We start from the raw sequence: 26,865 nt of genomic DNA on the forward strand, positions 1-26,865 counted from the left end.
GCTGCTGCCTCCTGGCCTCTGCTTTCTCCAGCCACATTGGCTGCCTTTGAGTCTCTGAGATGTGCTAAGAGCAGCTTCCTGCCTTCAGGCCTTAGCACATGTTGTTCCTTCTGCCTGGAATACTCGTCCTTCTGCTCTCTATATGCTTGGCCCCTTCTCACTCTTTGGGACTCAGCTTAAATGTCACCTCCTAAGCACCCTCTCTGAATGAGCTCCCCGCTGCGGCCCAGCCTTGGTTATCTCTCACCACACCCTGTGTTTCCTTTTGCTTCTGGAGAGAAGGAACCACGTCACTGTTCCCAGGGCCTCAGCAGCCTTTGTGTAATGCTGGTACTGAGAAGATGCTCTCTAAATCTTTGTGGCATGAATAGCGTCTACCCTGTGTCTGTTCTTGTGGTGAGAGATTTACAGATATTAATTAAATTCTCACAATAAACCTACTGTGAAGTTATTGTCCCCATTCTACAGATGAGGAAACTGAGGTCCAGAGAGGCAAAGCATCATGCTCCAGATCTCACAGCCAGTAAGAGGCAGATATGGGGTTGATCCCCACATCTGTCAGCCTCCCAATCTGTAAGGTCCAGCCCTACGGGGCTTAGCGGGTTTTCTCCCTGTGTGCGGAAACGAGAGATTGTAAGAAATAAAGACACAAGACAAAGAGATAAAGAGAGAACAGCTGGGCCCGGGGCACTGCTACCACTGAGACACAGAGACCGGTAGTGGCCCCGAATGGCTGGGCACACTGATATTTATTGCACACAAGACAAGGGGGGCAGGGTAGGGAGGGTGAGTCATCCAAGTGATTGATAAGGTCAAGCAAGTCATGTGATCATGGGACGGGGGCTCTTCCCTCTAAGGTAGCCGAAGCAGAGAGGGAAGGCAGCATAAGTCAGCATTTTCTTCTATGCACTTATAAGAAAGATCAAAGACTTTAAGACTTTCGCTATTTCTTCTACCGCTATCTACTACAAACTTCAAAGAGGAACCAGGAGTACAGGAGGAACATGAAAGTGGACAAGGAGCGTGACCATTGAAGCACAGCACCACAGGGAGGGGTTTAGGCCTCCAGATGACTGCGGGCAGGCCTGGATAATATCCAGCCTCCTACAGGAAGCTGGTGGAGCAGAGTGTTCCCTGACTCCTCCAAGGAAAGGGAGACTCCCTTTTGCGGTCTGCTAAGTAATGGGTGCCTTCCCAGGCACTGGCGTTACCGCTTGACCAAGGAGCGCTCAAGCGGCCCTTATGCGGGTGTGACAGGGCTCACCTCTTGCCTTCTAGGTCACTTCTCAGAATGTCCCTTCAGTACCTGACCCTATACCCACCGGTTATTCCTAGGTTATATTGTACTACAATAAAGAGTAATATTAAAAACTAATGATTAATAATGTTTATACTAATAATCGATAATTGTCCATGATCATCTGTATATCTAATTTGTATTACAACTGTATAGCAGTATAGCTACAGTTTATGCCTTCAGTCTCTTGCCTCGGCACCTGGGTAATCCTTCGCCCACACCAATCCCATGCTTCCCCCTCTATGTCAGGCTGGGAGTTGGGTAATGCTTTCCTTTGGACAACTTTATATCAGATATGACCAACTATTTTAAAACAAAGGCAATGCACATTCATTCTCTTGAAGTTAGACAAATGCGGTCTCCCTCCTTAGTTTGTTTCCCTCAAGTTGCAGATGGGAAACTGAGGCCCAGAGACTTGTCCAAGGTGATAAGATGGTGAATGAGGGAGCAGACTTGGAGCCCAGGAATCCTGGATCTGACCTGTGAGCCCCCTCTAGTTTTGTGCTGAAGAAAATAACTCCCAAGGTTGAAAGTAGAGGGACTCACTCTCTCAGACTTTTTCTGGGTCCTCAGGTCATAGTTTGAAGCACAAGTTTGAAGCTTCTAGGCTTTGTTTGCATTTGAGGCAGCAGGCAGCTGCACTTGTGACCCCATTTTGGAAGTTGCTTACTGGTGGTGACTCCTTCTTGCCTTCAGCTGGGGTGTGGGGACCAGGGTCAGAGATGTGGTCCAAGGGTCTGCCCTGCACATTCCCTGAATGGAAAGCCACTTGGATTCAGGTGGTTCAGCTCTTTGCCTAAAGCAGATTTGCCATTTTCAGGAGGGGAAGACTGAGGCCCAGGGAGTTGGCAGTGGGGCTGAGAATGAGTAACTAAGCTCTCCAGGCAGCCTCTTCTAGGGTAGGCTCTGCTGGGACCTCAGATGAGGAGTATGGCTCTGGTCTACCCCGATTCCAAGAGCTGACATGCGTGGAGAAATGGTCATCTTTTCTCAGCCCACCCCAGTGAGCAGCCAATGGAGATAAGGCCAGCCAATAATCCCACCACTAAGCTCGCTGGCACTGAAATGGCCAAGCTGGTGGTTCAGGAGAGCTGGAAGCCTGGCTCAGGACAGAGCCCTGGGAAGTTGAGTCTGCAAACATGCCCTCGGGTTCTTGTTGACGAGCAAAGCTCAGGGTTGTGGGGACAAAGACCAGGACTTAACAAATATTTAAGACATCTTTGTTGATGCTGGGATTTTGTGGTACAGAAAGGAACTTGCCTTGCATGTTCTGAGCAGTCTGGCTTCCTGCAGCTCCCTTACAACCCGAGCTCTCCTCCATTTGAGCTACAACAGAGCTCATTAATCCAAGCCACCTGGCCCTCAGCACTGTGTGTTGGGCACTCATGCTCCACCGCACAACTGAACTACCCTAGTCAAGGCCTAGAAACCTGGAAAATAATCCAACATCCTGGTAAGGTGGTAAGCTCCTCATCACTGGAGGCATTTATGTAATGCCTAGGGAACTTTGCAGGGGTCTTTGCCCAGGTTAAGTGGCTAGGACCAGGCTGACTGCTCTTCCCCCAGTCCAAGGGATATTTGATTTCTTTCCCATTCAGGGAACACAGATTATTTTTCCTTTTAGTTCTGGAAGCAGAGATGGCACAAGGGAGCTGGGGCAGGATGCTGAGAACATGGTTCTTCAGTCCGCTCTGCATACAGGGCCACCTAAAGGGGGACCTGTGGACTCTTCAATAGATAGGCTTTCTGAGTAAATGAGCCAAGCCCAGCCAGGGGCTTTTTCTGGTGCTGACGGTGTCGTCTTCCTCCTAGCCAAGACCGAGGATAGGTGTGGCCATTGGCGACCAGATCCTGGACCTCAGCATCATCAAGCACCTCTTTACTGGTCCTGTCCTCTCCAAACACCAGGATGTCTTCAATCAGGTAGGACATTGTGAAACGACTTGTCCCTGACCTCAGTGGCACTTACTGTGGATGCCAACAAGAGAATGCTCCTTGCGTTCCATTTCCGATAGAGGTAATGCCATCGAAGGTCTCAGAGGTTATACTTGGATAAGGCTGGGGTTGTTTTGAGACAGACAAACTGGTAGGAGGTGGCCTTGGGACAATTCAGGGTGGCTTCTCACCTCAGGGCGAGTTCCTAGGTGAAAAAAGTGTCAGTGTCTGCAGTCCTGGGTCGTTCCTAGTTGTCTATGAGATGAAGCTCTTCAGGAACTCTGGTTACTTTTCTTGTCAAGCTGTTTGAGCCTCTGCCTGTCCAAGGGCTGTGTGGGCCCCCAAGGGAGGGAGCTACGAGCCCAGCCCTCCAGTTCTGTGGAAGCAGCTACGGAGGAGTCAGCCTGAAGTACATGTTCACATGGGATGGACATGAATTTGCTTCCCTGTAAATGGTCATCTACTTTGATATAGCATCTTCTCATTGCATGGGTCAGGAAGGAGGGTGGGATTTATGGGTACCTCTTGTGTGCCAGGAGCTTCGCACACATCCTCTCCTTCAATCCTCCTGACCACCCTCTGGCATAGGAATTGGAATTCCTATGGGGGCCTGAGCATCTAGATGGGGACCTGAACTTCTGGAATGAGACATGGTTTTCCCAAGCTGCACAGCTAGAAGTATCAGAGCTGGGACTGGAACTCTGACTCTTAGAACCTACAAGGGCTTTTTCTGCTATGCTTCACTGGCTATAAAACCTCTTCCTTTTTTAAATTAAAAAACCTCTCGGCTCACGCCTGTAACCCCAGCACTTTGGGAGGCCGATGTGGGCAGATCACTTGAGGTCAGGAGTTCGAGACCAGCCTGGCCAACATGGTGAAACCCCCTCTCTACTAAAAATACAAAAATTAGCTGGGTGTGGCAGTGCACGCCTGTAATCCCAGCTACTCGGGAGGCTGAGGCAGGAGAACTGCTTGAACCTGGGAAGCAGAGGTTGCAGTGAGCCGAGATCACATCAGTGCACTCCAGCCTGGGTGACAGAATGGGAAAAAAAAAAACAACTTTTTTTTTTTAATAGAGATGAAGTCTCACTATATTGCCCAGGCTGATCTTGAACTCCTGGGCTCAAGTGATCCTCCACCTCGGCCTCCCAATGTGCTGGGATTACAGGCATGAGCCATCACACCTGGCCCAAAACCTCTTCTTAACTGATGTGAAAGGAATTAGTTTAGGCTGTGATCACTCTGCAGACTGGAGTGTGCCTCTACTGGAAGAACATGGCCACCTTCAACTGTGGGCCGGGCCAAGCTTAGCACAGTTGCTGTGCCAGGTAGCAACTCCTGGGCTTGGACAATTGTGTGCAGGTGCACGAGGGCCTGAGGCAACGTCAAGAGAGGATATGCTTTTCTCCAGGTTGATGAATAAATGACAAAACTAAGAGCAGAGGTCCTGAGAGTTTGAGTTAGCGGGAGAGAAGTGGCAAGGGCTGGCAGGCTGGCTGGCCTTCCATTGGAAGGAGGGATACTCCCTGGGTTTTCCTGTACGTGATCTTTTTTCTCCCTGTTTTGGTCTTAGCCTACACTCAACAGCTTCATGGGCCTGGGTCAGGCTGCCTGGAAGGAGGCGAGAGTGTTCTTGCAGAACTTGCTGTCTGTGAGCCAAGCCAGGCTCAGAGATGACACCGAACTTCGGAAGTGGTGAGAAGCACGTGGTCATAGGGGGGATGAGGGGATGCAGCAGGGGAGGTGAAGGCTGTGTGGTTATCAGTGCCATTCTGAGTCACGGCTTGGCAGCCTTAGTGTGGCCAAGTCAGACCTGCCCTCATCCAGCCCCTGCCTGAGCTGCCTATTGATGGGAGGGCTTTGGGAGGACTGGGATTGCCTTGGCGCCTGGAATGGAGCTGCCCAAGCTAGGCCAGGCCAGGCCCATTGGCCCTCTCTCTTACTCAGGCTGTCCTCATTAGCATCATCTGTGACCTCATCTGGTTTCTAGAGTAGGAAAGAGTTTCCACTTGTCTAGTCCCATTTCCTAGGGTAGAATATAGAAACGGCTTCAGTGGGTGGATGTCCTCTCAGCTGTGAAAGGTTCAGCATAGCTCTGGCCCCAGGCCAGCCAGAAGGTGCCCACTGGAGATTGTGGATAATCTTGGGGATGGTCTGGGCTGAGCCCGTGGGTGGGACCGCGCTTTGCTGCCTACTTGACTTTGAAGCCCCTGGTTCTGTGTTTCAGTGCATTCATCTCCCAGGCTTCTGCCACGATGCACCTTCCAGCCACCATAGGTGAGTGCAGTCTCTTCACCAAGATAAGAACGGAGCAGCTTCGTGGGCCAAGAGGGCTGGCCAGGTGCTTTGGTTCTGCATCTGTGTGGAGGGTCCCTGCTGGTGGGGGGAGATGGAGGAGGGGCTCTGGGGCTGTTACCCGCTCCTCATCACTGACCTTTCCCAGCATCCAGGCCCGGCATTCACTCAGGCTATTATCTTGCCTCAGGTAGTGAGTTGCAGACTGCTCAAGTTCATGACTAGCCGCATGGCTCCCTGCACAGCAAATTGCTTTCCTTCCCCCAAAGGCTATGGGACAAATTCTCTGAGCTCAGTCTGTGAGTCAGCAGTTTTGAGGATAGAGGCCAGAGGGCTATGAAGGGCCCCAGTTTGAGCACGTGGCAGGATGTCTGGTTGGAGTGTCATTCAGGAAGTTGGAGCTGTTGAAACTCTCAACCTGAAGCAGAGAGAGAGGCTGGCTCAGCCTGCGGCCCAAAGCACAGCCCTCTTCCTTGTGCACAGGTCTCCTCTGCTGGGCTACCTGGGCACCTGTGAGCTGAGGGGCCAGTTGACCCTGCCCCTGGGGTACACTGCCTCTCTGGAACAGCTCCTGCTGTCCGGGGAGAGTCCTTTGCTGCTGGGCTGCTTGGGCTAAGCTGACTGGAGGATGGGGTTGGGGACAGGGGCCGAGTCACCTGCCTCCTCCCAGCCCCTCTCACTCCCCACTCTCATACACTCATGGGACTGTGCTATGTTTTGGCAAACCAGCTGTTGTGCAAACCATATGTCTTTCAGGGATATCATGTCTGGTTGACTGATGGTGCCCTTTCTTGTTTTTTTTTTTTTTTGTTATGGATTTATTCTTTTGAAAAATCTCTCAGCTATTACTTCTGTGCAATGGGACTGAAGATGGGAAGCAGCAGCTAAGGCTCCACCTGCCCTGTGGACTGTTCTTCCTCTCCTCACCCTTCACCATGACTGTTGCTAGTCTAGGCTGTTGGTATTGATGAATATCCAGCATTTTTTTTTTTTGAGGAGACATTTAGGAAGATAAAACAGGCAGACTGTCCCAACTGGTTTTTCTTTCAGATTTTTAATTCTCCGAATGGTAGATATGCCTACAGCTTGCTGGCTAGCCCATTCAGTTCATCATAATCAACAAGCACTGATATGCATCTGCAGTGTGCAAGCCCTTGTCCTTGGCACTCGGGCAGAGTCCAAGAAAATGAGGACTGGGCTGGGGCTGTCCTGGAATGTCCACAGTCTAGCAAAGATGTGCACACACATAACTGGAGCACCAGTGGGAAGCGAAGCCTGCCCCAGAAGGATTCAGGGGAGGGGATTTGGAGGGGGAAGAGATCCTGCTAGAGAGAGCAGGGAGGGCTTCAGGGAGGAGCGGGCCTCAAAGAGTTGCCAGGATTTGAATACACAGGGACAAGGGAGAAGTCAATCAGTATAGGCGTGGTGAGGGAGCCTGTGGGAACTCGGGAATGGCAGTTGTGTGTGGGAAAAGTGGGGAGCCTGAGAAGGGAGGTGGTATCAGCCACTTGGTGTTCACATTCCACTGTCAGTTTCAGAAAGTCTGGACTCCTGATTTCTTATTTGTTTCTCAGCTGAGGGCTCTAAAAACAAATCTTCAGTGAGGATATTTTATATTGCATTTGGTGCTGCCATTGCTGGCTGCAGGCTGAGCTCTGGATGTGTAAACAGTATTGTGTGCACACTCGTGGCTCCAGTGCTTGGAACAGTCCATTCTTCCTGAGGCATGTGGGTTGCTGATGGGATCTGTTGGGTCTTTCCTCTGCAGGAGACTACACAGACTTCTATTCCTCTCGGCAGCATGCTACCAACGTCGGAATCATGTTCAGGGACAAGGAGAATGCGTTGATGCCAAATTGGTATGAACTGGGCCAAATGTCTGCATAAGTTCAAAGTCTTTCTTTTCATTTCCAGCAGCATATTTGTCTCAGGAGCTGCCAAGTTCTTCTTAAAGTAAACTGGGGAGGAAAAGCAGTTATGATGTTGCAACCTCTGGAAGCAGTGGTCTCAGCTTCTGGTCTCCTGCTCAGCTTGGCTTAGGACTTGCTGTGGGATCGAAGGGCAAGTCCCTTAAACTTCCTTGGACAGCAGGGGTTGGAATTAGATTCCCTTAATCCCTATGCTCCTTCTGGAGTCTTTCATTTATAAGCTGTGTATTATTGTACTATGGGCAAGTCTTAGACTCTAGCATGCTCCATACTTACATTTTCTGATGAATGAGAATCCTCAAATGTGCCCAGTGCTGTATATTCCTCAACATGTGATCGGTTTCATTCATTTGTTTGATCCTCGTAGTAGTTCTCTGATGTCACAAGGCCATGATTGTAAGCCCCATTTTACAGACAGGAAAATGGGCTCAGAGAAGGATCAACTTGCCTGAGCACAACAGGGCCACAGCCTGTCTCCCAGCCCCCAGATCAGGCCATTGACCAAGCTGAGGATGCAGAGCTGGGATCCTTGCCCTTTGTTCTGTGTTGTCCCCTGGATGTGATGGTTCCTTGGAACTGAAGAGGGCCTGGACTCAGTGGCAGGCATACACTCCAGGCCCCAGTGCCATCAGTCACACACAGGAGCTGGGTTAGGGACGGGGCTTTACTCTCTCTCGAGTGAGTGTCTCCAGTAGGCTATGCCATGAGGGGAGGGTCTGTTAGAACCAAGATGAGGAAGAAAGAAAGGGAGAGAGAGCAGTTCCAAGCCAGAGATGTTGAACAACAAGGCCAAGGTTGCAGAATGAGGCAGGGGTGAATCTGAGACCAGAACCCAGGCTCCAGGTTCCAGGCTTCCACGTGAGATGCGCAAATATTTGAGAATCTTGCACTGTACAGGCTCCAGGCTGTATTTGTCCCCAGCCAGCTTCAACTTGTCTATCTGATGGGCTGAGTGTCTATATGAGTGTCCTTGGCAGTGATGACCCAGTGGACTGCCCAGCCCCAGAAGAGCTGGCTGTCACCTGTGTGCCAGGATCCCAGTGGCCAAAGGGCAGGGGCACCAGGAAGTGAGAGGAGAGCCGGGACCTGGGAAATGAGTGTTGACTGTGTCTGAAACCGAGTGTGGGGGCCGCAGCCATCCTTGCCCCATGTCCTTCTGCAGAATAAGAGTAAACAGGCCTTCTCTAGCCATGTTTGATGCAAGATGGCCCACAGCTGTGACTTTTTAGCTTTATGTACATAGTCTTTATTATAAAGGTAACATATATTTACTGGAATTAACCCAAACACTACAGAAAATATGTAAACATTTACAATTAAAAATGTGTCTACTCTTTGACCTGCAATGCTCACTTTCATGCATCTATCCTACAGAAATAAAAGCACCAGTGGGTTGTATCCAAGAGCAAGGATGTTAATTAGCAGAGTTTCTAGTGGCCCAGAACTGGAAGTAATCTGAATGCTTATCGGTGGAGGAATGGTTGAAAAATTGGTCTATTCACAATATGAAATGTTTTGCAGCTAGTGAAAGATTTAGATCAAGAAAGATGTGCACTGATCTGTGTTAAGTGAAATAGGTAAACTATAGGCAATTAGGTAAAGTGTGTCTCACTTTTATAAAAAAAGCACAAAAAATATATATGTACATACACACTGTATTAGTTTTCTGTTGCTGCTGTAACAAATTACCACAAACTTGGTGGCTTAAAACACAAATATATTCTCTTCTAGTTCCGGAGGCCAGAAGTCAAAAATCAGTCTCACTGGCTAAAGTCAAGGTGTCAGCAGGGCTGGTTCCTTCTGGAGGCTCTAGGAGAGAACCCATTTCTTTGACTTTTCAGCTTTAGAGGTTGCCTGTATCCCTTGCCTTTTGACCCCTTCCTCATATCACTCCAACCACTTGCTTCTGCTGTTACATTTCCTACTTCCTCCTTTGACCTTGCCTCTGTCTATAAGGACCCTTGTGATTACATTTAGGGTTCACTCAAATAACCAGGGACAGTATCCCTATCTCAAGATCCCTAACTTAATCACACCTGCAAAACTCTTTTTGCCATGTAATAATATCCACAGGCTCCAGGGATTAGGATCTGGATATCTTTTGGAGGGCTATTTTTCAGCTTAACACACACACACACACACGCATGTACACATGCACACACACACACTTATGCATACATTAGTTCCATAGGCCGGTATGAGCATAGAGAAAGGCAAAAAATATTAGACTCCAGATTAACATTGCTTTCCTCAGGGGAGTGGCCGGGTGGGGAGAGATTACTAACTCCTTTTTTTCATCTGAATTGTTTGAATTATTACATGCCATGTAATTGCATGCAATGGAATTTTATAATTTAATCCAATAAAGGAACCAAGGTGGGTAAAAAAGGGAGCTCTTCCTCAGCCACTCACCAGAGGCAACTACTTTGAACAAGTTGGATGTGCCGCTTCCTGTACTTTGCTCCAGGTTACACATGCATGACCACACGTATGCACGCATACATATGCATTTTATTTCTTTAGTTAACAAAACGAGGGCATGCTGAAATTTGCTTTTTTTACTTCATCATTGACATATCTCCATGTAGATAAGTTTAAATCTATCTCAGTCTTTTACAAAATAAGTTTTTTGGGGTAGGTAATACAAGACAATTACACAGTAAAATATCATTTTTATAAAAAGATACAAAAATACAGTACAGTAGGGCTGGGCGCGGTGGCTCACATCTGTAATCCCAGCACTTTGGGAGGCTGAGGTGGGTGGATCACAAGGTCAGGAGTTTGAGACCAGCCTGGCCAATATGGTGAAACCCTGTCTCTACTAAAAATACAAAAATTAGCAGCCAGGCGTGGTGGCTCACGCCTGTAATCCCACAACTTTGGGAGGCCGAGACGGGCGGATCACCTGAGGTCAGGAGTTTGAGACCAGCCTGGCCAACATGGTGAAACCCTATCTCTACAAAAGTACAAAAATTTGCTGGTCATGATGGCGGGTGCCTGTAATTTCAGCTACTTGGGAGGCTGAGGCAGAAGAATCACTTGAACCTGGGAGGCGGAGGTTGCAGTGAGCTGAGGTTGTGCCGTTGCACTCCAGCCTGGGTGAGAGAGCGAGACTCCATCTCAAAAAAAAAAAAAAAAAATTAGCTGGGTGTGGTGGCGGGCGCCTGTAGTCCCGGCTACTTGGGAGGCTGAGGCAGGAGAATCACTTGAACCTCGGAGGTGGAGGTTGCAGTGAGCTGAGATCACACCACTGCACTCCAGCCTGGGCGACAGAGCGAGACTCTGTCTCAAACCCCACCCCCCACCAAAAAAAAAAAAAGGTACAGTAATAAAAGTGTATAGAAATATAGGGAAATGAGGACCATGCTGGTTTCCTCTAGGGTGAGGGGCAGGAAGGGAGGGAAGGAGAGTGAGACCAGGGAGGGATCCCAAGGATGCATTGGACTGGATAAGTGAACTGTTATTTCTTTAGCTCCTTGGTGGTGCATGGTGACTTGTGTTATTACATGTTTTTGTATATCATAAATATTACAAAATAATTTATCAAACATTTAAAAAATTAAAAGCAACAAAAACAGTCAATATATATATACATGGTTGAGAATTCAAAAGGTACTTAAGGGTAAACAATGAAAAAAACAGAACTCAACCACCTATGGGCCACCATCCAGTTCCCTTCTCCAGAGACAAAACTGTTAATCGGTGTCATACATATATTTTCTTTTTCTTTTTTTTTTGAGACTGGGTCTTACTTGGTCACCCAGGCTGGAGTGCAGTGGCATGACCTTGGCTCACTGCAGCCTTGACCTCCCAGGTGAAGCCATCCTCCTGCCTCAGCCCCCTAAGTAGCTGGGATTAAAGGTGCACACCACCATGCCTGGCTAATTTTTGTATTTTTTGTAGAGATGGGTTTTCGCCATGTTGATCAGGCTGGTCGCAAACTCCTGGACTCAAGTGATCAGCCCACCTTGGCCTGCCTTAGCCCCACAAAGTGCTGGGGTTATAGGCATGAGCCACCGTGCCCGGCCTTCTTATATATTTTTTCACAGATGTTTTTGCATACTCTGCCAGTTTATATATACAGTCATTTCTCTATTATTAGTTTACAAGAGTGTTTTATAAGTGATAGAAATTAACCCTTTGTTGCAATGCATTGCAAATATTTTCTCCCAGTATGTTATCTTTTTTCTTTGTTTGCCAGTCTTTCTAGATACAGAGTTTTGCATTTTCTTTTTTTTTTTTTTTTTTTGAGACAGAGTCTTGCTCTGTCGCCATGGCTAGAGTGCAGTGGCACCATCTCGGCTCACTGCAAGCTTCGCCTCCCAGGTTCACGCCATTCTCCTGCCTCAGCCTCCCGAGTAGCTGGGACCACAGGTGCCTGCCACCACTCCCGCCTAATTTTTTGTATTTTTAGTAGAGACAGGGTTTCACCTGTTAGCCAGGATGGTCTCGATCTCCTGACCTTGTGATCCACCCGCCTCGGCCTCCCAAAGTGCTGGGATTACAGGCCTGAGCCACCGTGCCCGGCCTAGAGTTTTGCATTTTCATAAAGTCAGGCATGCCAATCATTTTCCTTATGGCATTTACTTTTGTGTAATGTTTAGAAAGGCTTTCTCCACCCCAAGAATTTGGAAGTTTTTTGTGTTTTTGTGTTTTTTTTTTCTAGTGCCTGTAATAGCCTTTGTTTGTACATTTAGATCTTGAATCCATCTGGATTTCCTTTTATGTGTGAGGTGTGGTATGGGTCTGTATCCATTTCCTGGGGCTGCTGTAAGAAAAAGCCACAACAACAGGAATTTATCCCCTCAGTTCTGGAGGCCATAAATCTGCAATCAAGGTGTCAGTAAGGCCATCTCCTCCTGAAGCTTCTAGGACCGTCCTTGTCCTTGCTGCTTCCAGCTTCTGGGGGCTGCAGGCGTTCCTTGTGGCTGCATCACTCCAGTCTCTGCCTCTGTCTTCACGTGGCCTTCTCCTCCTTTCTACATCTTCTCTTCTCTTCTGTCTCTTATAAGGACATTTCTAATTGGATTTAGGGCCCACCTGGATAATTCAGGATGATCGTGTCTCAAAATTCTTAACTTGATTACATGTATAAAGACTCTGGGAGTTAGGACATGGCTGTATCTTTTTTTTTTTTTTTTTTTGAGATGGAGTCTTGCTCTGTTGCCTAGGCTGGAGTGCAGTGGTGCGATCTCAGTTCACTGCAACCTCCACCTCTCAGGTTCAAGCGATTCTTCTGCCTCAGCCTCCCGAGTAGCTGGGACTACAGGCGTGCACCACTATGCCTGGCTAATTTTTGTATTTTTAGTAAAGACGGGGTTTCACCATGTTACCCAGGCTGTTCTCGAACTCCTGGCCTCATGTGATCTGCCCACCTCAGCCTCCCAAAGTGCTGGGATTACAGGCGCGAGCCACTGCACCCAGCCCAGAATTTTCTTCCTTTTTGAGGCTGAATAATATTCCACTGTATGTATGTACCACAGTTTGTTTATCCATTCATCTGTGGATGGAAACTTGTAAGCACCTGTTGATTTTTGAGCCATGTGTATGTGGCGACTCTTTGTTTCTAGTTTTTGAAGTTTTTAAAGTTAATTGACAACATATAACAGCTCTGATGCCCTGCATTCTCTTGCCTTCCTTTCTCAGGCTGCACTTACCAGTGGGCTACCATGGCCGTGCCTCCTCTGTCGTGGTGTCTGGCACCCCAATCCGAAGGCCCATGGGACAGATGAAACCTGATGACTGTGAGTGACCGCAGCGTCCAGGCCTTGCTGGTACCCAGCTCTCTGTTCCCACACAGAGAGTTCTGTGGCCTCACTCACAGCACCGTTTTTTTTTTTTTTCTGGTGTTATTCCAGCTAAGCCTCCCGTATATGGTGCCTGCAAGCTCTTGGACATGGAGCTGGAAATGGTAAGTGAGCTTGATGTTTTATTGCCATGGGATCTATAGACACCCGGCAGGAGAGCCCTTTGGGATGGCTCCCCGCACCATGAGCCGCCCACTCCCCTCCTCTTCAGCCACATCGGCAGCCGCTCTGTGTCCCCACCTGGCCATCAGAAGGACAGTTGATCCTTATTACTTGCAGATTCTGTATTTGAGAATTCACAACTACTTGCTAATATTTATTTGTAAGTCCAGAATTAATATTCACAGAGCTTTTGTGGGCATGTGTGGACATGCGCAGGGCAGTGAAACATTTGAGCTGCCTGGTGAGCATGTTCCTAGGTGAGGCTGGACAAGGTGTTACTCTGCCTTCTTGTCTCAGCTTATGCTGTAAACATGTGTCCTTTGTAGTCTATTCGGTGCCATGTTTTTTGCAGATCTGTGCTTTTTTGGCTGTTTCATTGTTTTTTTATAATGACCCCAAGTGCTGTGCTAAAGTGCCGTCTAGTGTCCCTAGCACAGGAAGACTGTGACGTGCCTTATGGAGAGAATATGCGTGTTAGTAAGCTTTGTTCAGGCAAGTTACAGTGCTGCTGCCTCAGCTCAATGTTCATGAATCAACAAAATATATTACATAAAGCATTTTTAAGCAGAAACACACATAAAACAGGCTATATAGTTAGGTTTTGATTAGTTGATAAAAATTTTCTGACCAAAGGCTTGAAGGAACCTAATCCTGTGTTTCCTCTAGGAAGTCATTCTATATTTGCTAATTCTGTGTTCATGGTGACTTTATAAAAAATAATTACCTGGCCGGGTGTGGTGGCTCACACCTGTAATCCCAGCACTTTGGGAGGCTGAGGTGGATGGATCACCTGAGGTCAGGAGTTCAATACCAGCCTGGCCAACATGGTGAAACCCCGTCTCTACTAAAAATACAAAAATTAGCTGGGGATGGTGGTGGGTGCCTGTAATCCCAGCTACTTGGGAGGCTGGGGCAGGAGAATCGCTTGAACTGAGGAGGCGGAGGTTGCAGTGAGCTGAGATCGCGCCACCACACTCCAGCCTGGGTGACAGAGCGAGACTCTGTCTCAAAACAAAAAACAAAAAACAAAAACCCAAAAATAATAATTACCACGAGTGACAAGAGTCAAGTGTATCAGCCCCATGGCTGGGCCCATACAACCTCAGAACTGTGGTCACTTTAGGCTGCATACTTTTTTATTTGTTTTTTGTTTTGTTTTGTTTTGTTTTGTTTTTCTGAGATGGAGTCTCACTCTGTCACCCAGGCTGGAGTGCAGTGGCACTATCTCGGCTCACTGCAAGCTCCGCCTCCTGGGTTCACACCATTCTCCTGCCTCAGCCTCCCGAATAGCTGGGACCACAGGCACCTTCCACCATGCCTGGCTAATTTTTTGTATTTTTAGTAGAGACAGGGTTTCACCATGTTAGCCAGGATGGTCTCGATCTCCTGACCTCGTGATCCACCTGCCTCGGCCTCCCAAAGTGCTTGGATTACAGGCATGAGCCACCGCGCTCGGCCAGGGCTGCACACTTTTTTAAATTAAACTTTTTATTTTGAGGTCATTGTAGACTCACATGCAGTTGTGAGAAATAGTACAGAGATCCCAATACCCTTCACACAGTCTCCCCCAGTGGCAACATCCTTCGTAACCATGGTGCTCTATCACAACCTGGATGTTGATGTTGATACAGTCGGTCCCACCACCTGAGGATCCCTCATGCTGCCCATTTTTCAGAGGGGACACTGAAATCTGGGCAGCCCCCAAGGTGAGGGGACCAGGGAAGTGATGGAAAGGAGGAGCTGACCTGGGGGAGGCAGCGCTCCGGGGACCTGGCAGGGTCTTCAGCATCTGCTGGGTTGTCTGATGCCCAAGGTTGGAGTCAGTCTCCGTGTGGGAAATGCAGACAGGCAGATGGAGGGGGCTTTCCCATAGTCAGCACCTACAGTTTTAGGCGTTGCCTCAGGAAGCTCTGAGTGCCTCATCACTGATGGTGTAGAAGAAGCTGTCATGGGGCCACCGAGTCAGGCTGAGACAGTGGGAAGCCCTGGTTGGTGGAGGCAGGCTGAAAGGCCCGTCTGCTTTTCTGGAGCTCCCTGTCTCTCCTGGGCTTCCCTGTGATTTCTCTGGATTCAGTCCAGAGGAGGGAAATGAGTGGGCACTGCCGAATAGCCCGTGGATAGCAGGGCATTCCCTGCCAGCCCTCTGCCTCCTCCTGCCTTAGCAAGGGTACTATGTGAGACTGCGGGAGGAGGACCCCCAGCTGAGATTCATCAGAGCAGGGCATCTGAGCCCTGGTTTGGGGCCATGGTCTTCTCTCTGGGAGAACTAAGGACTCTGCAGGCAGACACTTCACCTGTTGAGAGGGAGAGAGAAAAGACAGAGAGTCAGCATGTGGAGAAATGGTTGGGGCAGAGAGCCCAGGTCACCTGGACTAGTGCTTTTGGGTTCTTTTTTTCATCTTGATGAAAAATTTGCAATGTTTAACTATTGTCACAGAACAAATAAAATGGTGACTAAGTTTTGCAAATGTCATGGCTGAGTCTATGTTTTTCAAAGAGATTTTCCCAAATTTTTCTTTCTAATGATGCCTGGCTAGTCTGCTGGTTCATGGACATCACGTTGGTGCTGTTTTTCTTTAGAGGTAGTGGGATGACAGATAGGGGTTAGAGGCCGTGGGGTGTGCTCTCTCTGGTACTATTTGCTGCATGAAGGAGGCAGTCTTTTGGTTTTTCATTTTTCATTAAAAAAATTTATTTTTTATTTTTTATTTTTATTTTTAAATTTTATTATTATTATACTTTAAGTTTTAGGGTACATGTGCACAACGTGCAGGTTTGTTACATATGTATACATGTGCCATGTTGGCGTGCTGCACCCATTAAGTCGTCATTTAGCATTAGGTATATCTCCTAATGCTATCCCTCCCTCTTCCCCCCACCCCACAACAGACTGGATTAAGAAAATGTGGCACATATACACCATGGAATACTATGCAGCCATAAAAAATGATGAGTTCATGTCCTTTGTAGGGACATGGATGAAACTGGAAACCATCATTCTCAGCAAACTATTGCAAGGACAAAAAACCAAACACTGCATGTTCTCACTCATAGGTGGGAATTGAGCAATGAAAATTTTTATTTATTTTATTTTTTTATTTTTTGAGACAGGGTCTTGCTCTGTCACCCAGGCTGGAGTGCCGTGGCGTGATCTCGGCCTGCTGCAGCCTTGACCTCCCTGGCTCAAGCAATCTTCCCACATAAGCCTCCCAAGTAGCTGGGACTGCGGACATGTGCCACCATGCCTGGCTAATTTTGTTTATTTTTTGTAGAGGTGGGGTCTCACTATGTTGCTCAGGCTTGTCTCAAACTCCGAGGCTCAAGTGATCCTTCCACCTCAGCCTCCCAAAGTGCTGAGATTATAGACGTGAGCCACAGTGCCTGGCCTGGTTTTTCATGACATGAATACAAACCCTGATAGTTTCAGTTTTACAAGCCTCATGTGGCTGTCAAGTCTTGAAAGGCAAAGGCTGTATGGGATGAAGAGGAAAGAGCAGAGTGGCCTGGGATGCACTGAAGGGAGGGGAGGCTGCTTTGGAGCTCAGGGGAGTGGAAGGAAGGCCGATGGCGGGGGCAGGGCACACCACTGCACTCTGCTTTCCTGAGGCGTCCATCTGACCTCTGACTTAGAAACACAGTGGATTCATGCCAGGCCCCTGTGGCAGTCCTGGTCCATGGCTGGAGTTTGGAAATACCTGACCTTTGCTCTCTAGGTGACAAGTGACCTGGGCGGCAGATCAGCTCCAGATTCTAATGAACTCTCCCCCATGTAAGGCTTTTTTTGTAGGCCCTGGAAACAGATTGGGAGAGCCGATCCCCATTTCCAAGGCCCATGAGCACATTTTTGGAATGGTCCTTATGAACGACTGGAGTGGTAATTACTGGAGCTCTGCTCCTGTAGAGATGACGGGGAGGAGGCTGGGGACTTGGGGCAATTTCATAGAAGCTGAAGATCTGGTGCAGGTCAAAAGTGGCAGGTGATGCAGTGACTGAGAGTGGGGGTCTGGGTATCAAACAGACTTTCAGCTCTAAGAACTCGGGCCACTCACTTAACTCCTCTGAGCTCCAATTTTCTCGAGTGGCTAGGGACACGGCTGACATCATAACTAATATTTACTGAGCACTTATGTGTCAGGCCCTGTGCTTAACACCCTTCGTATATTCTCCCGCTGATCCCTACACGGTATGTGCAATATTATCTTCCCATTTTACAGATGAGGAACTGAGGCACAGGGAGATTTCAGTTAGTTGCTGAACTAAGATTTGAAGCAAAACAGTCCAGCTTCTGAGCCTGAGCTCTCAACCCTTTGCCATACGTGGGAGGAAGATGGCACCATAAGCCCCAGAAAGTGTCTCTCTCATAGTTTGAGAATGAGCTTCCAGCCCCTTCCTGGGAGATATCCTGACCACCGTTTGGTCATCCTTCTCTTTGCTGTAACCTGGCACAGTGCCCTCAAAGGACCTCTGTCCTTGGCATTGAATGCTCTTGCCCCTTTGTCCTGGGGCAGCCTGACTGGGGCTGATCTTTGTGGAGATGGCAGTGCTAGGTGTCTCTGCTCCTTGGTCAAGGGCAGGAGGGGGTCGTTGGGAGATGCCCTGATCAGCCTTTGTAAGTCCTGGCTGTGCCCTTCTTCTGCAGCACGAGACATTCAGAAGTGGGAGTATGTCCCTCTCGGGCCATTCCTTGGGAAGAGTTTTGGGACCACTGTCTCTCCGTGGGTGGTGCCCATGGATGCTCTCATGCCCTTTGCTGTGCCCAACCCGAAGCAGGTAAGCACATTCTCTGCAGGAAGCTCCCAAACCCAGCCCTGCTGCCTCTGAGGCTGCTTGCCCACTGAGTGGACATGCCAGGCATGCAGACCATCAGGAGGGAAGCTCTGTGCCCACGGCATGCCCACAGCAGAGTGCCTGGGAGTTCCTGGCCACGATTACTTCCAGGCAGCCAGGGCATCATTCTCCCTTGTGGTTTCCCTGGCCCTGGCACAGTTCTTGGAGAAAACACAGAATTTTGTAACCTTAAGAATCTTGCAAGACCCGGGGGATCTGGCCAGTTGGCAGGAGGAGTCCCTGCAGGTACCAACATTGCACAACCTCCCAGGTGGCCATCAAATCTTGTTCTGTGCAAATGGCGCCACCTGGACCCCAACTCATAGAATGCAGCTTGGAGCCCAGCAACAGGGAGTCCCTGCAGCCTCTGGTTCCCGGCACCGCTTGGTCTACCACTGGGTCTAGGCCTTGACCCCTGGTTCCAGTCCTCCCTTCTCAGCCTGTTGCAATCTGCCCCACTCCATCACTGGCAACACCTGGCCAGAGTCACCTGTGACCCGATAGTCAGTGTCATGACCTTGTGTCCCCTTCAGCATGGACTTCCTGTGGCCCCTCACTCTTGTTGGCATTCCCTCACCCCTTGGTTTCTGGCATGTGACCTGTCCTCGTTCTCCAGTGTCTCTGAGTCCTCACGATGCCCCTCTCCAATTCTGACCTCCCTGTGGGGATCCAGGCTGAGCTCCCAGCCATTTGCACATCCTCGCTTGAGCATCTCACCACGCATTTGCTGGGGGCCTCTACCAACACCCGGTGCTGGTCCTGCACCCACACTGCTCTCCCATGCTCCTCTGCCTCTGGGGTCATCTCATGTTTGCTGTGCTACAAACAACCCTGAGGTCTTTCCTTGCAAGCCAGTTCTAGTGAAGTCCTGTGGGGCTTTCACCCTCATCCCTTGCTCTCTCCTCGCTGCTCCCTACCACAGCACCCCCTGCCCACCCTGGTCATTTTCAGTCGCCAGGACTTGACTTTCTCTCTAGCTGGCAGCGGCCTTGTCTAGTCTCCCTAGGGCTGCAAGGCCACAGCCTCTCTTTGCTTGTCCTCCAGTCATCTGCCTTCTTCCGGGTCGGTCATCACAGGGTTTTGCCTGCCTTCCTCTGTGCCAGCCCTTCCCCAACACCATTTAGGTACAACACTACTATTCCCCCTCTGAACTATTATTTACTTAATGTTTTCCTTCAGAGTGGCTCCCAGTTTAAACTTAATATATTAAGAAGGGAACTTTATATTCCTACTGGCATCACTAGCTACACTGTTTCATAACCATTAGTATCACCAAAAACGATCTCATGTCCCGTGGGTGACTCATGTACCATGCTTTGGAAAACACTGCTTTTGGCCGGAGTGCAGGCGTTCTGGCCCAGCCATCCAAGCTGCCTCCCTAGCTGGCTCCAGCACCAGCCAGGGCTGTCTACTTCTGTTGTGACCCCTCTGCCTTCCAGGGGCCCTGCAATGCGCTTTCAGGCCCAGCCTTTCCTCACAGGCCAGGCTTTGTTCTCCATCTCGGCCTGTCTGCTGCCCACCTTCCCTTTCTCTCCCCTCCTGTGGCTTTCAGGAACATCTCTGGTTTGGCTCCTGTGACCTTTGACCTGCTGATGCCCCTTCCTTGGCTGCATTTCCTAGAGACCCACAGTATGATCCCCCCTACTGCTATCCAGGGACACAGTGCTGGGTCCCTGGAGAGGGAATGCTCCTGCTGTCTCAGACCCTCTGCCTAGGGGAGCAGGTGCTGCTGGGGGCCTGGCTGGTATGGGGGCCCAGCCGGGTGAGCTCAGCCCACCTGCCAGTGACCTCTGTGCTGTGCTTTGCCCTCTCAGGACCCCAGGCCCCTGCCGTATCTGTGCCATGACGAGCCCTACACATTTGACATCAACCTCTCTGTTAACCTGAAAGGTATGTTGTAGGGGGACTGACATGGCCAGGAGCTCTGAGGCAATGTGTGCCTGTGTGCCTTGTCCTGAAGGCTCCTGAGCTTTGGCAAGGGTGAGGGCACGTGCTACAGCCCTGGAGATGTGTGTGGCTCGTCTAAAGGAAAGAGGAGGGGAGGGGAGGGGACACCCTGGTGCTCACTGGGAACCTAACTGGGCCCATAGGGCATTAACCCTGTCACTGAGCTCTCAGTGGTAGGGCTGAAAGGATGGAGTCCGGGACTTCCATCTTCTGCTTGAATCCCCTCCCCAGCCTCTCCAGGGGCTGCCTGGCTCCTGCTCACATATCGCCACTGACCCTCACTTCCGTGGTGGGTGGCACATTTCATTGAGTGCCTGTTTGAAAGCATGTCCTTGTGGGTCTGTTCGCTTGGCTGAGCCCCTGGGGCCACACAGAGCCAGCGCATCAAGACCCCAGATTCCCACCATGGGCCAGCCCTGAGTGTCTTGCAGACAGACCCGAGATCCCCACCCTGGGCCAGCCCTGACATAGACAGGGCCCACATCTCCCTGTGGCTGCTCAGCCCGCCTCCGCGAACAGGCCCAATGGGGCGTTGGTAATAAAGAGACTGGCTCTGCAGGCCATGACTCTGCTGCTCAGCTGTGGGACTTTGGGCAAGTTGCCAAACCTGGCCATGTCCTCATTTGTCATCTATGAAATGGGATAATAGCGGCGTTGACCTCATGGTGTGTTGTGAGGACCAAACATGTCAATTCATGCAAAGGTCTGGGACAGGGTCTGTACCTAGAAAGAGTCAGGTGTCATTTTCCAATCCCAACGGGGGCCCTCGGATGGGGAGGGTTTGCCTGGTGGCCACACACAGACCTCCTAGCCACACTCTGGCCAAATCTCCTTTTTAGCTCCATTCCATTCCTTTTTCTTTTCTTTTCTTCTTTTTTTTTCCCCCGAGATGGAGTTTCACTCTTCTTGCCCAGGCTGGAGTGCAATGGTGCGATCTTGGCTCACCACAACCTCTGCCCCTGGGTTCAAGCGAGTCTTCTGCCTCAGCCTCCTGTGTAGCTGGGATTACAGGCATGCGCCACCATGCCTGGCTAATTTTGTATTTTTAGTAGAGATGGGGTTTCTTCATGTTGGTCAGGATGGTCTTGAACTCCTAACCTTAGGTGGTCTACCCACCTAGGCCTTCCAAAGTGCTGGGATTACAGGCGTGAGCCACCATGCCCGGCCAGCTCCATTTCTTTCTTCTGTCTGCTCTGTCTGTACACTCCAGGCTTTGCCATGTCTGTCTCACTGTCAGTTCCAGGGTCTCGGCCCTTCATGAGGTGGTTCCTGTCAGGAGGCGCAGTACACTGCAGGAGCTGTCGCCATGGGAGCAGGATGCTCCATGGAGAAAGAGCTGTCACAGAGAGCCTCCTGGCTGCCCAGGGCCCTCTGGGAAGCTGTGCTGGGCCCGCTCTTTCAGGTTCCAGGTCAGGAAGCTGAGGCTCAGAGAGGAAAAGGATTCACCCCGAGCCACCTACCTGGCTAATGGCAGGGCTGGGACTCAATCCAAGTGTGTCACAAGTTCTAGGTTGGCCTCCTGCCACCCACAATGCGTGCTTGGAGTATACTTTCTATCTGGTTTTGTCCTCAGTATTCCTGGCTGCCTAGAGGTGAACCTGCCCGCCCGGGGGAGGCCACTGGTAGAAAAGGGACAAGATTATCCAGAAAGCACAGTGTCCAGAGATGTAGTCCTGCATTTGCAGTTCTGATGTTCTGAGTTGGGATCTGGGCGAAAGGGTCTGGGGAGGAGCAGCCTTGGCAGACCCAGACCTCGCATGGCTGAAGAGCACACCTGTTCTGTGCCACCTCAGAGGGGAAGTTAGGACCAAGGGAGGAAGCCAGGTTTTGAGGGAGCAGAGGAGCTTTCTACTTATTAGTGCTGTTCAGAAGTGGAACGGCAACAGCCCGGTACCTTGCATGTAGTAGATGTTTAGTAAATATTGTTTAGTACGTTGTGAAGTAGCACACTGCCCATCACTGGAGGAGCTCGGCAGGGGACAGATGACCCAGCTATCCAGAGGACTCCTGAGGGGACAGCAGGTTATCCTTGATCAAAGGTCACAAGTAGCTTTCAAATGGCACACTATCTTTAGTGGATTTGCGGGTGCCAGGATCACTGTGTTAAGAAGGATTCTGAGGCTACATATGGACTCAGAGCAAACATGTGCTGTGATCAATTAATGCTGCCTGCTGTAGGCGTGGGAGGAGGAAGTGATGACTTGTGTGCATGTATTGGCCAACCCTGGACCTCCCAGCTCTGATGTCCTAGGAGCTAATTGTTTCACAGACTCTAAGTGAAATCATGTTGGACAATGGGAAGCTTCAGCCACAGAACAATTCTTTTTTTATTTTCCTCCCTGATGCATGGAATTAAGTTTTCATCAATATTGCTTTTCTTTCCAACAGGAGAAGGAATGAGCCAGGCGGCTACCATATGCAAGTCCAATTTTAAGGTAAGCTTTGACGCTGATCAGACTGCTTTTTAGAATTGAGGGAAAGAGAGACTTTTCTTCCTGGCAGGAACAGGAGGAGAGCATTCCTTTTGGGATATGATGATGGGTCAGCCTGTGGGCCTGGAGCTTCCATGGCCTGTCTCTTTTAGGAGTGGCCATGGGGTCACAGAGTTCTCTCGAGATAGAGGCTGCATAAATGTGGCCAGTGATTTTCTTGGGGGAAAATAGGTGTTCCTGTAAAGGTCTAGTTCCTGGTTTATCCTGTCCTGCCAGGGGCTGTATTGATGAGAGTGACTTATTTTTTAAGTGAACTTTTAATTGAAGCATAATATACATAGATAAAAATGCACACATTACTGTAATCCCAGCACTTTGGGAGGCCAAAGTGGGAGGATCGCTTAAGCCTAGGAGTTTGAGACCAGCCTGGGCAACATAATGAGACCTTGTCTCTGCAAAAAGTAAAAAAATTAGCCGGGCGTGGTAGCATGCACCTGTGGTCCCGGCTACTTGGGAGGCTAAGGCAGGAGGATCGCTTGAGCCCAGGAGGTCGAGGCTGCAGTGAGCCATGATCACACCACTGCATTCCAGCATGCGTGACAGAGCAAGACCCTATTTCAAAAAATAAAAATTAAAAAAAGTGCATATTATACATGTACAGCTTGAAGAATTTTCCTAAAATGAACATCCCTGTGCAACCAGCACCCAGATCAGAAATGGAAAATTTCCAGCACCTCAGCAGCCCCGTGGGGCCCTCCAGGTCACTTCATCACTCCCTCCAGCAAAGGTCACTCCTCTCCTGACCTCTGCTACCATGTATTATTTTTTTTCTGTTTTTCAGTTTTATAGAAATGGCATCATAAAGTAGCATGTATTCTTTTGTAGCTGGCATCTTTGTTTTAGTGTTAGATCTGTGAGATTCAACCCTGTTGCTCTTTGCAGTGACAGCTCATTTTTCTCATTGCCTTATAGTGTTGCACTGTATAAATATTCCACAACTGACTTAATTTTTTTTTTTTTTTGAGATGGAGTCTCGCTCGTTGCCCAGGCTGGAGTGCAGTGGCGCGATCTCGGCTCACTGCAAACTCCGCCTCCTGGGTTCATGCCATTCTCCTGCCTCAGCCTCCCGGGTAGCTGGGACTACAGGTGCCCGCCACCACGCCCGGCTAATTTTTTTTTTTGTATTTTTAGTGGAGATGGGGTTTCACCATGTTAGCCAGGATGGTCTCGATCTCCTGACCTTGTGATCCGCCCGCCTCAGCCTCCCAAAGTGCTGGGATTACAGGCATGAGCCACTGCGCCCGGCCAACTGACTTATTTTGTAAGTCACATCAATTCCACAATCGATGGACATTTGGTTGTTTCCGTTGTTTTTGGCTATCACAGAGTTACTGTGAACATTTTAGTACACACCTTTTGGTGCACATATGTGCACATTTCTATTGAGTGTATATCCAGTAATAGGCTTGCTGGGTCATAGAGTACACATAGACTCAGCCTAGGGGTACTTCCAAACAGTTTTTTGAAGTGGTTATACCAGTATATACTCCCACTAGCAGCATGTAAGCATTTTGCCTGCTCCACATCCTCGTCAGCTCTGGTGGTGTTTGCCTTTTCGTTCAAACCGTGCCTGGGATTGTGACTTCAGTTTGCATTTCCCTAATGACTAATGCAGCTGGGCATGTTAGTCATATGTTTATGGTTCATTTGTTTCTTGGCCTTTTGAATATCCTCTGAATCATTGAACTATTTCTAGTTTCCCTAATTTCCCTTCTAATTTAATATTATTCTGGGCTCCTTAGGGCTAGTAAGAAGAAATTAAGGGGCCTCCTTGCAGGGGCTCGTGGGCAAGAATCCATCTTTTGGGTTTCCTATGCCGGGATGTGTGGCTGTAGGAATGGCAATGTGAGAAGCTGTGGCCTGGGACAGGCATGGGCGTGCATTGCATCTGAGCGTCTCGGTGGGCACGTGGTGCCTTGGCCCCCTCTGCCCACAGCCTGACCGCCCACAGCTCTCCCTCGCTCCTTGGCCTGCCCTGACATCGTGTTTGAATCGTTCAGCTCCATTGCCCAGTGTCCATCCCAAGGCCCGGCATGGGAGAATGGGAGCGAGGGCTTTGCTCACGAGAAGCCTCTGCTGTGGTGTGGACTTAGATTCTCCCAATACGGGACTGGAGGGTGTTCCCAGGGCAGAGTGGAGTGTTGTACACAAGGGCATGTTGCAGGCTGAGGGACTGAGCAGTAAGGTCAGCCCTTAGGGGATGCTGCTTGGAGAAGGTGGTCAGTGTGGGCTTGAGGTAGCAGAGGAGCTGAGGTTGGAGTTTGTGAAGGAGATGGAAGAGCTTGGGGGAGGTCTCTGGGCAGCTCCCCAGGAGGACAATGTGTCCTTACTATAAGGGACTGGAGAGAGCTGGCTGGGGGAGCTGGGGACCGGGGAAAGGCCAGGGAAGGCGGTCGTGAGCAGGGCAGGCTGTGCCCAGCTGCCTCCGGGATGCTAGGCTAAGCCTGCCGCTGCTCATTCCACCTCGCGTCCATTGCCTGCAGTACATGTACTGGACGATGCTGCAGCAGCTCACTCACCACTCTGTCAACGGCTGCAACCTGCGGCCGGGGGACCTCCTGGCTTCTGGGACCATCAGCGGGCCGGTGAGTATCTGGCTGCACTGAGGGCTGCCCACGCAGAGCATCCCTGCTCCCCACACAGCCCCAAGGGCCCTCAGCTCAGCCTCGAGAAGAGATTTCAGGCCCGAGGTGGGTGTATCTCACAACTCTGTCTTCCTCGTAGCCTTTCTCTCTGGGTGCAGGAGGGACTTCTCATCCAAATTCAAACCTAAAGAGACTGGTGTGAGAACGGAAGCCTGGGTCTCTGCCTCTGTAGGGGAGCAGCGCAGTGACACGTGGGGAGGAGTCAGGAGACAGTGATAGTGTCTTGGTTGTCACCATCTCACACTACACCCTCCCAGGATGAGGTGGCCATGCTGCTGTGCCCCTTCCCACCCGCTTGTCCCCCTGTAAGCCTGCGGGAGTCACAGAACCTTCAGAGATGATGACCTTGGGGTGGTGCATGTGTCACTCACTTCCTGCAGGGGGCTGGCCGAGCCCTCTTGTTCCTTGAGCTGTCGACAGGAGGGTGTTAAGCATCACGATATCTGGGCAAACTGCAGCCTCCAGAGCAGGGAGGGGATGCTGCAGGGGGCACTGGGCACTCTGGTCAGGGATTCACTGATTCCTAAACAAGCGATGTCCTTAGTGGAACCATTGCTGTCCCCACAGGAAGAAGGGGCAGAGTTCCATGTCTCAAAGGCATCTCTGCAGTGATCCCACCAAGGCCGAGGCAGGGTCTCTGAGGGGCATGAGGGCCCCCTGCCACTTCTCGGGACTCCCAGGTCTTGCTGAGCATGGTCCATGCCAGAGCCAAGGCATAAATTCATGTTATTCTTTCTTCCCTTTCCTGTGATGAAGGAGCCAGAAAACTTCGGCTCCATGTTGGAACTGTCGTGGAAGGGAACGAAGCCCATAGACCTGGGGAATGGTCAGACCAGGAAGTTTCTGCTGGACGGGGATGAAGTCATCATAACAGGTGAGGGCTGCCAAACCCAGCAGCTCGTCTTCCTCCTTGCCCGCCATGCACTGTTCTAGCTGCGGGGCGCTCCTACCTGGCCATGAAGCCATCTGTTCTCACGCATCCTGACTCTGCCTCCCAGAGTCTCTGCCTGCTTGTTCTGTCCTTCCCCACAGCTATGGCTACCCGGGACTTCAAGTGTGAGTCTCCCTAGGCCAGAAAGACTGTAGACATTCTGCTTGGTCTCCCTTCTCCCTGAGCATAGTTATAAAATACTGGCAGGTTCCTCAAGGTCTAGACTTTGCAGCAAACGCCCTGTGCAGACACTTGGTGACCTATGACTAGGATCAAGGAAGGTTCAGCTGAGTTAGTGACTGAGGCTTCGCAGCAGCCTGTTCCAAGGAGGTGAGGGTGCCTCTTAATTCTTCTGGGGGTGCCATTCTGCCTACCACATTTTACTAATAGAGGGAAAGGGCACCATAATGGTTAGCAGCACACTCTTTAGAGCTGGAAAGGTTCAAGTTGAACTCCCAGGTCCCCCACCAGCTGTGTGACCTTCATTAAGTTATTTAGCCTTTCTGAGACTCAGTTTACCTCATCTTTAATTATTTTTTTTGTTTTTGAGTCGGAGTCTTGCTCTCTCATCCAATCTGGAGTGCAGTGGCACAATCTCA

The 26,865-nt window shown here is 49.9% G+C and overlaps 1 protein-coding gene across 3 annotated transcripts in view, besides 5 other annotated features; it reads left to right on the forward strand.

Moving 5' to 3' along the window:
* Positions 1 to 26,865, forward strand: part of FAH (fumarylacetoacetate hydrolase) — a 34,161-nt gene that overhangs the window by 2,162 nt on the left and 5,134 nt on the right. For all 3 annotated transcript variants that reach the window (NM_001374377.1, NM_001374380.1, NM_000137.4), the window contains 12 exons: positions 3,110 to 3,220; positions 4,806 to 4,927; positions 5,460 to 5,509; positions 7,296 to 7,386; positions 13,102 to 13,199; positions 13,314 to 13,366; positions 17,199 to 17,298; positions 18,064 to 18,194; positions 20,066 to 20,141; positions 22,587 to 22,633; positions 25,174 to 25,275; positions 26,092 to 26,209. In NM_001374377.1, coding sequence (NP_001361306.1) covers positions 3,110 to 3,220; positions 4,806 to 4,927; positions 5,460 to 5,509; positions 7,296 to 7,386; positions 13,102 to 13,199; positions 13,314 to 13,366; positions 17,199 to 17,298; positions 18,064 to 18,194; positions 20,066 to 20,141; positions 22,587 to 22,633; positions 25,174 to 25,275; positions 26,092 to 26,209 — 1,099 coding nt within the window. The remainder of the gene's footprint in view (positions 1 to 3,109; positions 3,221 to 4,805; positions 4,928 to 5,459; positions 5,510 to 7,295; positions 7,387 to 13,101; positions 13,200 to 13,313; positions 13,367 to 17,198; positions 17,299 to 18,063; positions 18,195 to 20,065; positions 20,142 to 22,586; positions 22,634 to 25,173; positions 25,276 to 26,091; positions 26,210 to 26,865) is intronic.
* Positions 5,275 to 5,918: an enhancer, noted in NCBI's record as "H3K27ac-H3K4me1 hESC enhancer chr15:80452567-80453210 (GRCh37/hg19 assembly coordinates)". NCBI's record gives its function as "activates a minimal SCP1, AML or CMV promoter by ChIP-STARR-seq in primed H9 embryonic stem cells {active_cell/tissue: H9 hESC(primed)}" and the evidence as "EXISTENCE:reporter gene assay evidence [ECO:0000049][PMID:30033119]".
* Positions 5,275 to 6,561: a biological region, named in NCBI's record as "H3K27ac-H3K4me1 hESC enhancers GRCh37_chr15:80452567-80453210 and GRCh37_chr15:80453211-80453853".
* Positions 5,697 to 5,991: an enhancer, noted in NCBI's record as "tiled region #12283; HepG2 Activating DNase unmatched - State 5:Enh, and K562 Activating DNase matched - State 5:Enh". NCBI's record gives its function as "activates a minimal TATA promoter and a strong SV40 promoter by Sharpr-MPRA in HepG2 and K562 cells {active_cell/tissue: HepG2 | K562}" and the evidence as "EXISTENCE:reporter gene assay evidence [ECO:0000049][PMID:27701403]".
* Positions 5,919 to 6,561: an enhancer, noted in NCBI's record as "H3K27ac-H3K4me1 hESC enhancer chr15:80453211-80453853 (GRCh37/hg19 assembly coordinates)". NCBI's record gives its function as "activates a minimal SCP1, AML or CMV promoter by ChIP-STARR-seq in primed H9 embryonic stem cells {active_cell/tissue: H9 hESC(primed)}" and the evidence as "EXISTENCE:reporter gene assay evidence [ECO:0000049][PMID:30033119]".
* Positions 12,882 to 13,382: an enhancer, noted in NCBI's record as "H3K27ac hESC enhancer chr15:80460174-80460674 (GRCh37/hg19 assembly coordinates)". NCBI's record gives its function as "activates a minimal SCP1, AML or CMV promoter by ChIP-STARR-seq in primed H9 embryonic stem cells {active_cell/tissue: H9 hESC(primed)}" and the evidence as "EXISTENCE:reporter gene assay evidence [ECO:0000049][PMID:30033119]".

Source organism: Homo sapiens, chromosome 15, assembly GCF_000001405.40.
Source record: "Homo sapiens chromosome 15, GRCh38.p14 Primary Assembly".
NCBI lineage: Eukaryota > Metazoa > Chordata > Mammalia > Primates > Hominidae > Homo > Homo sapiens.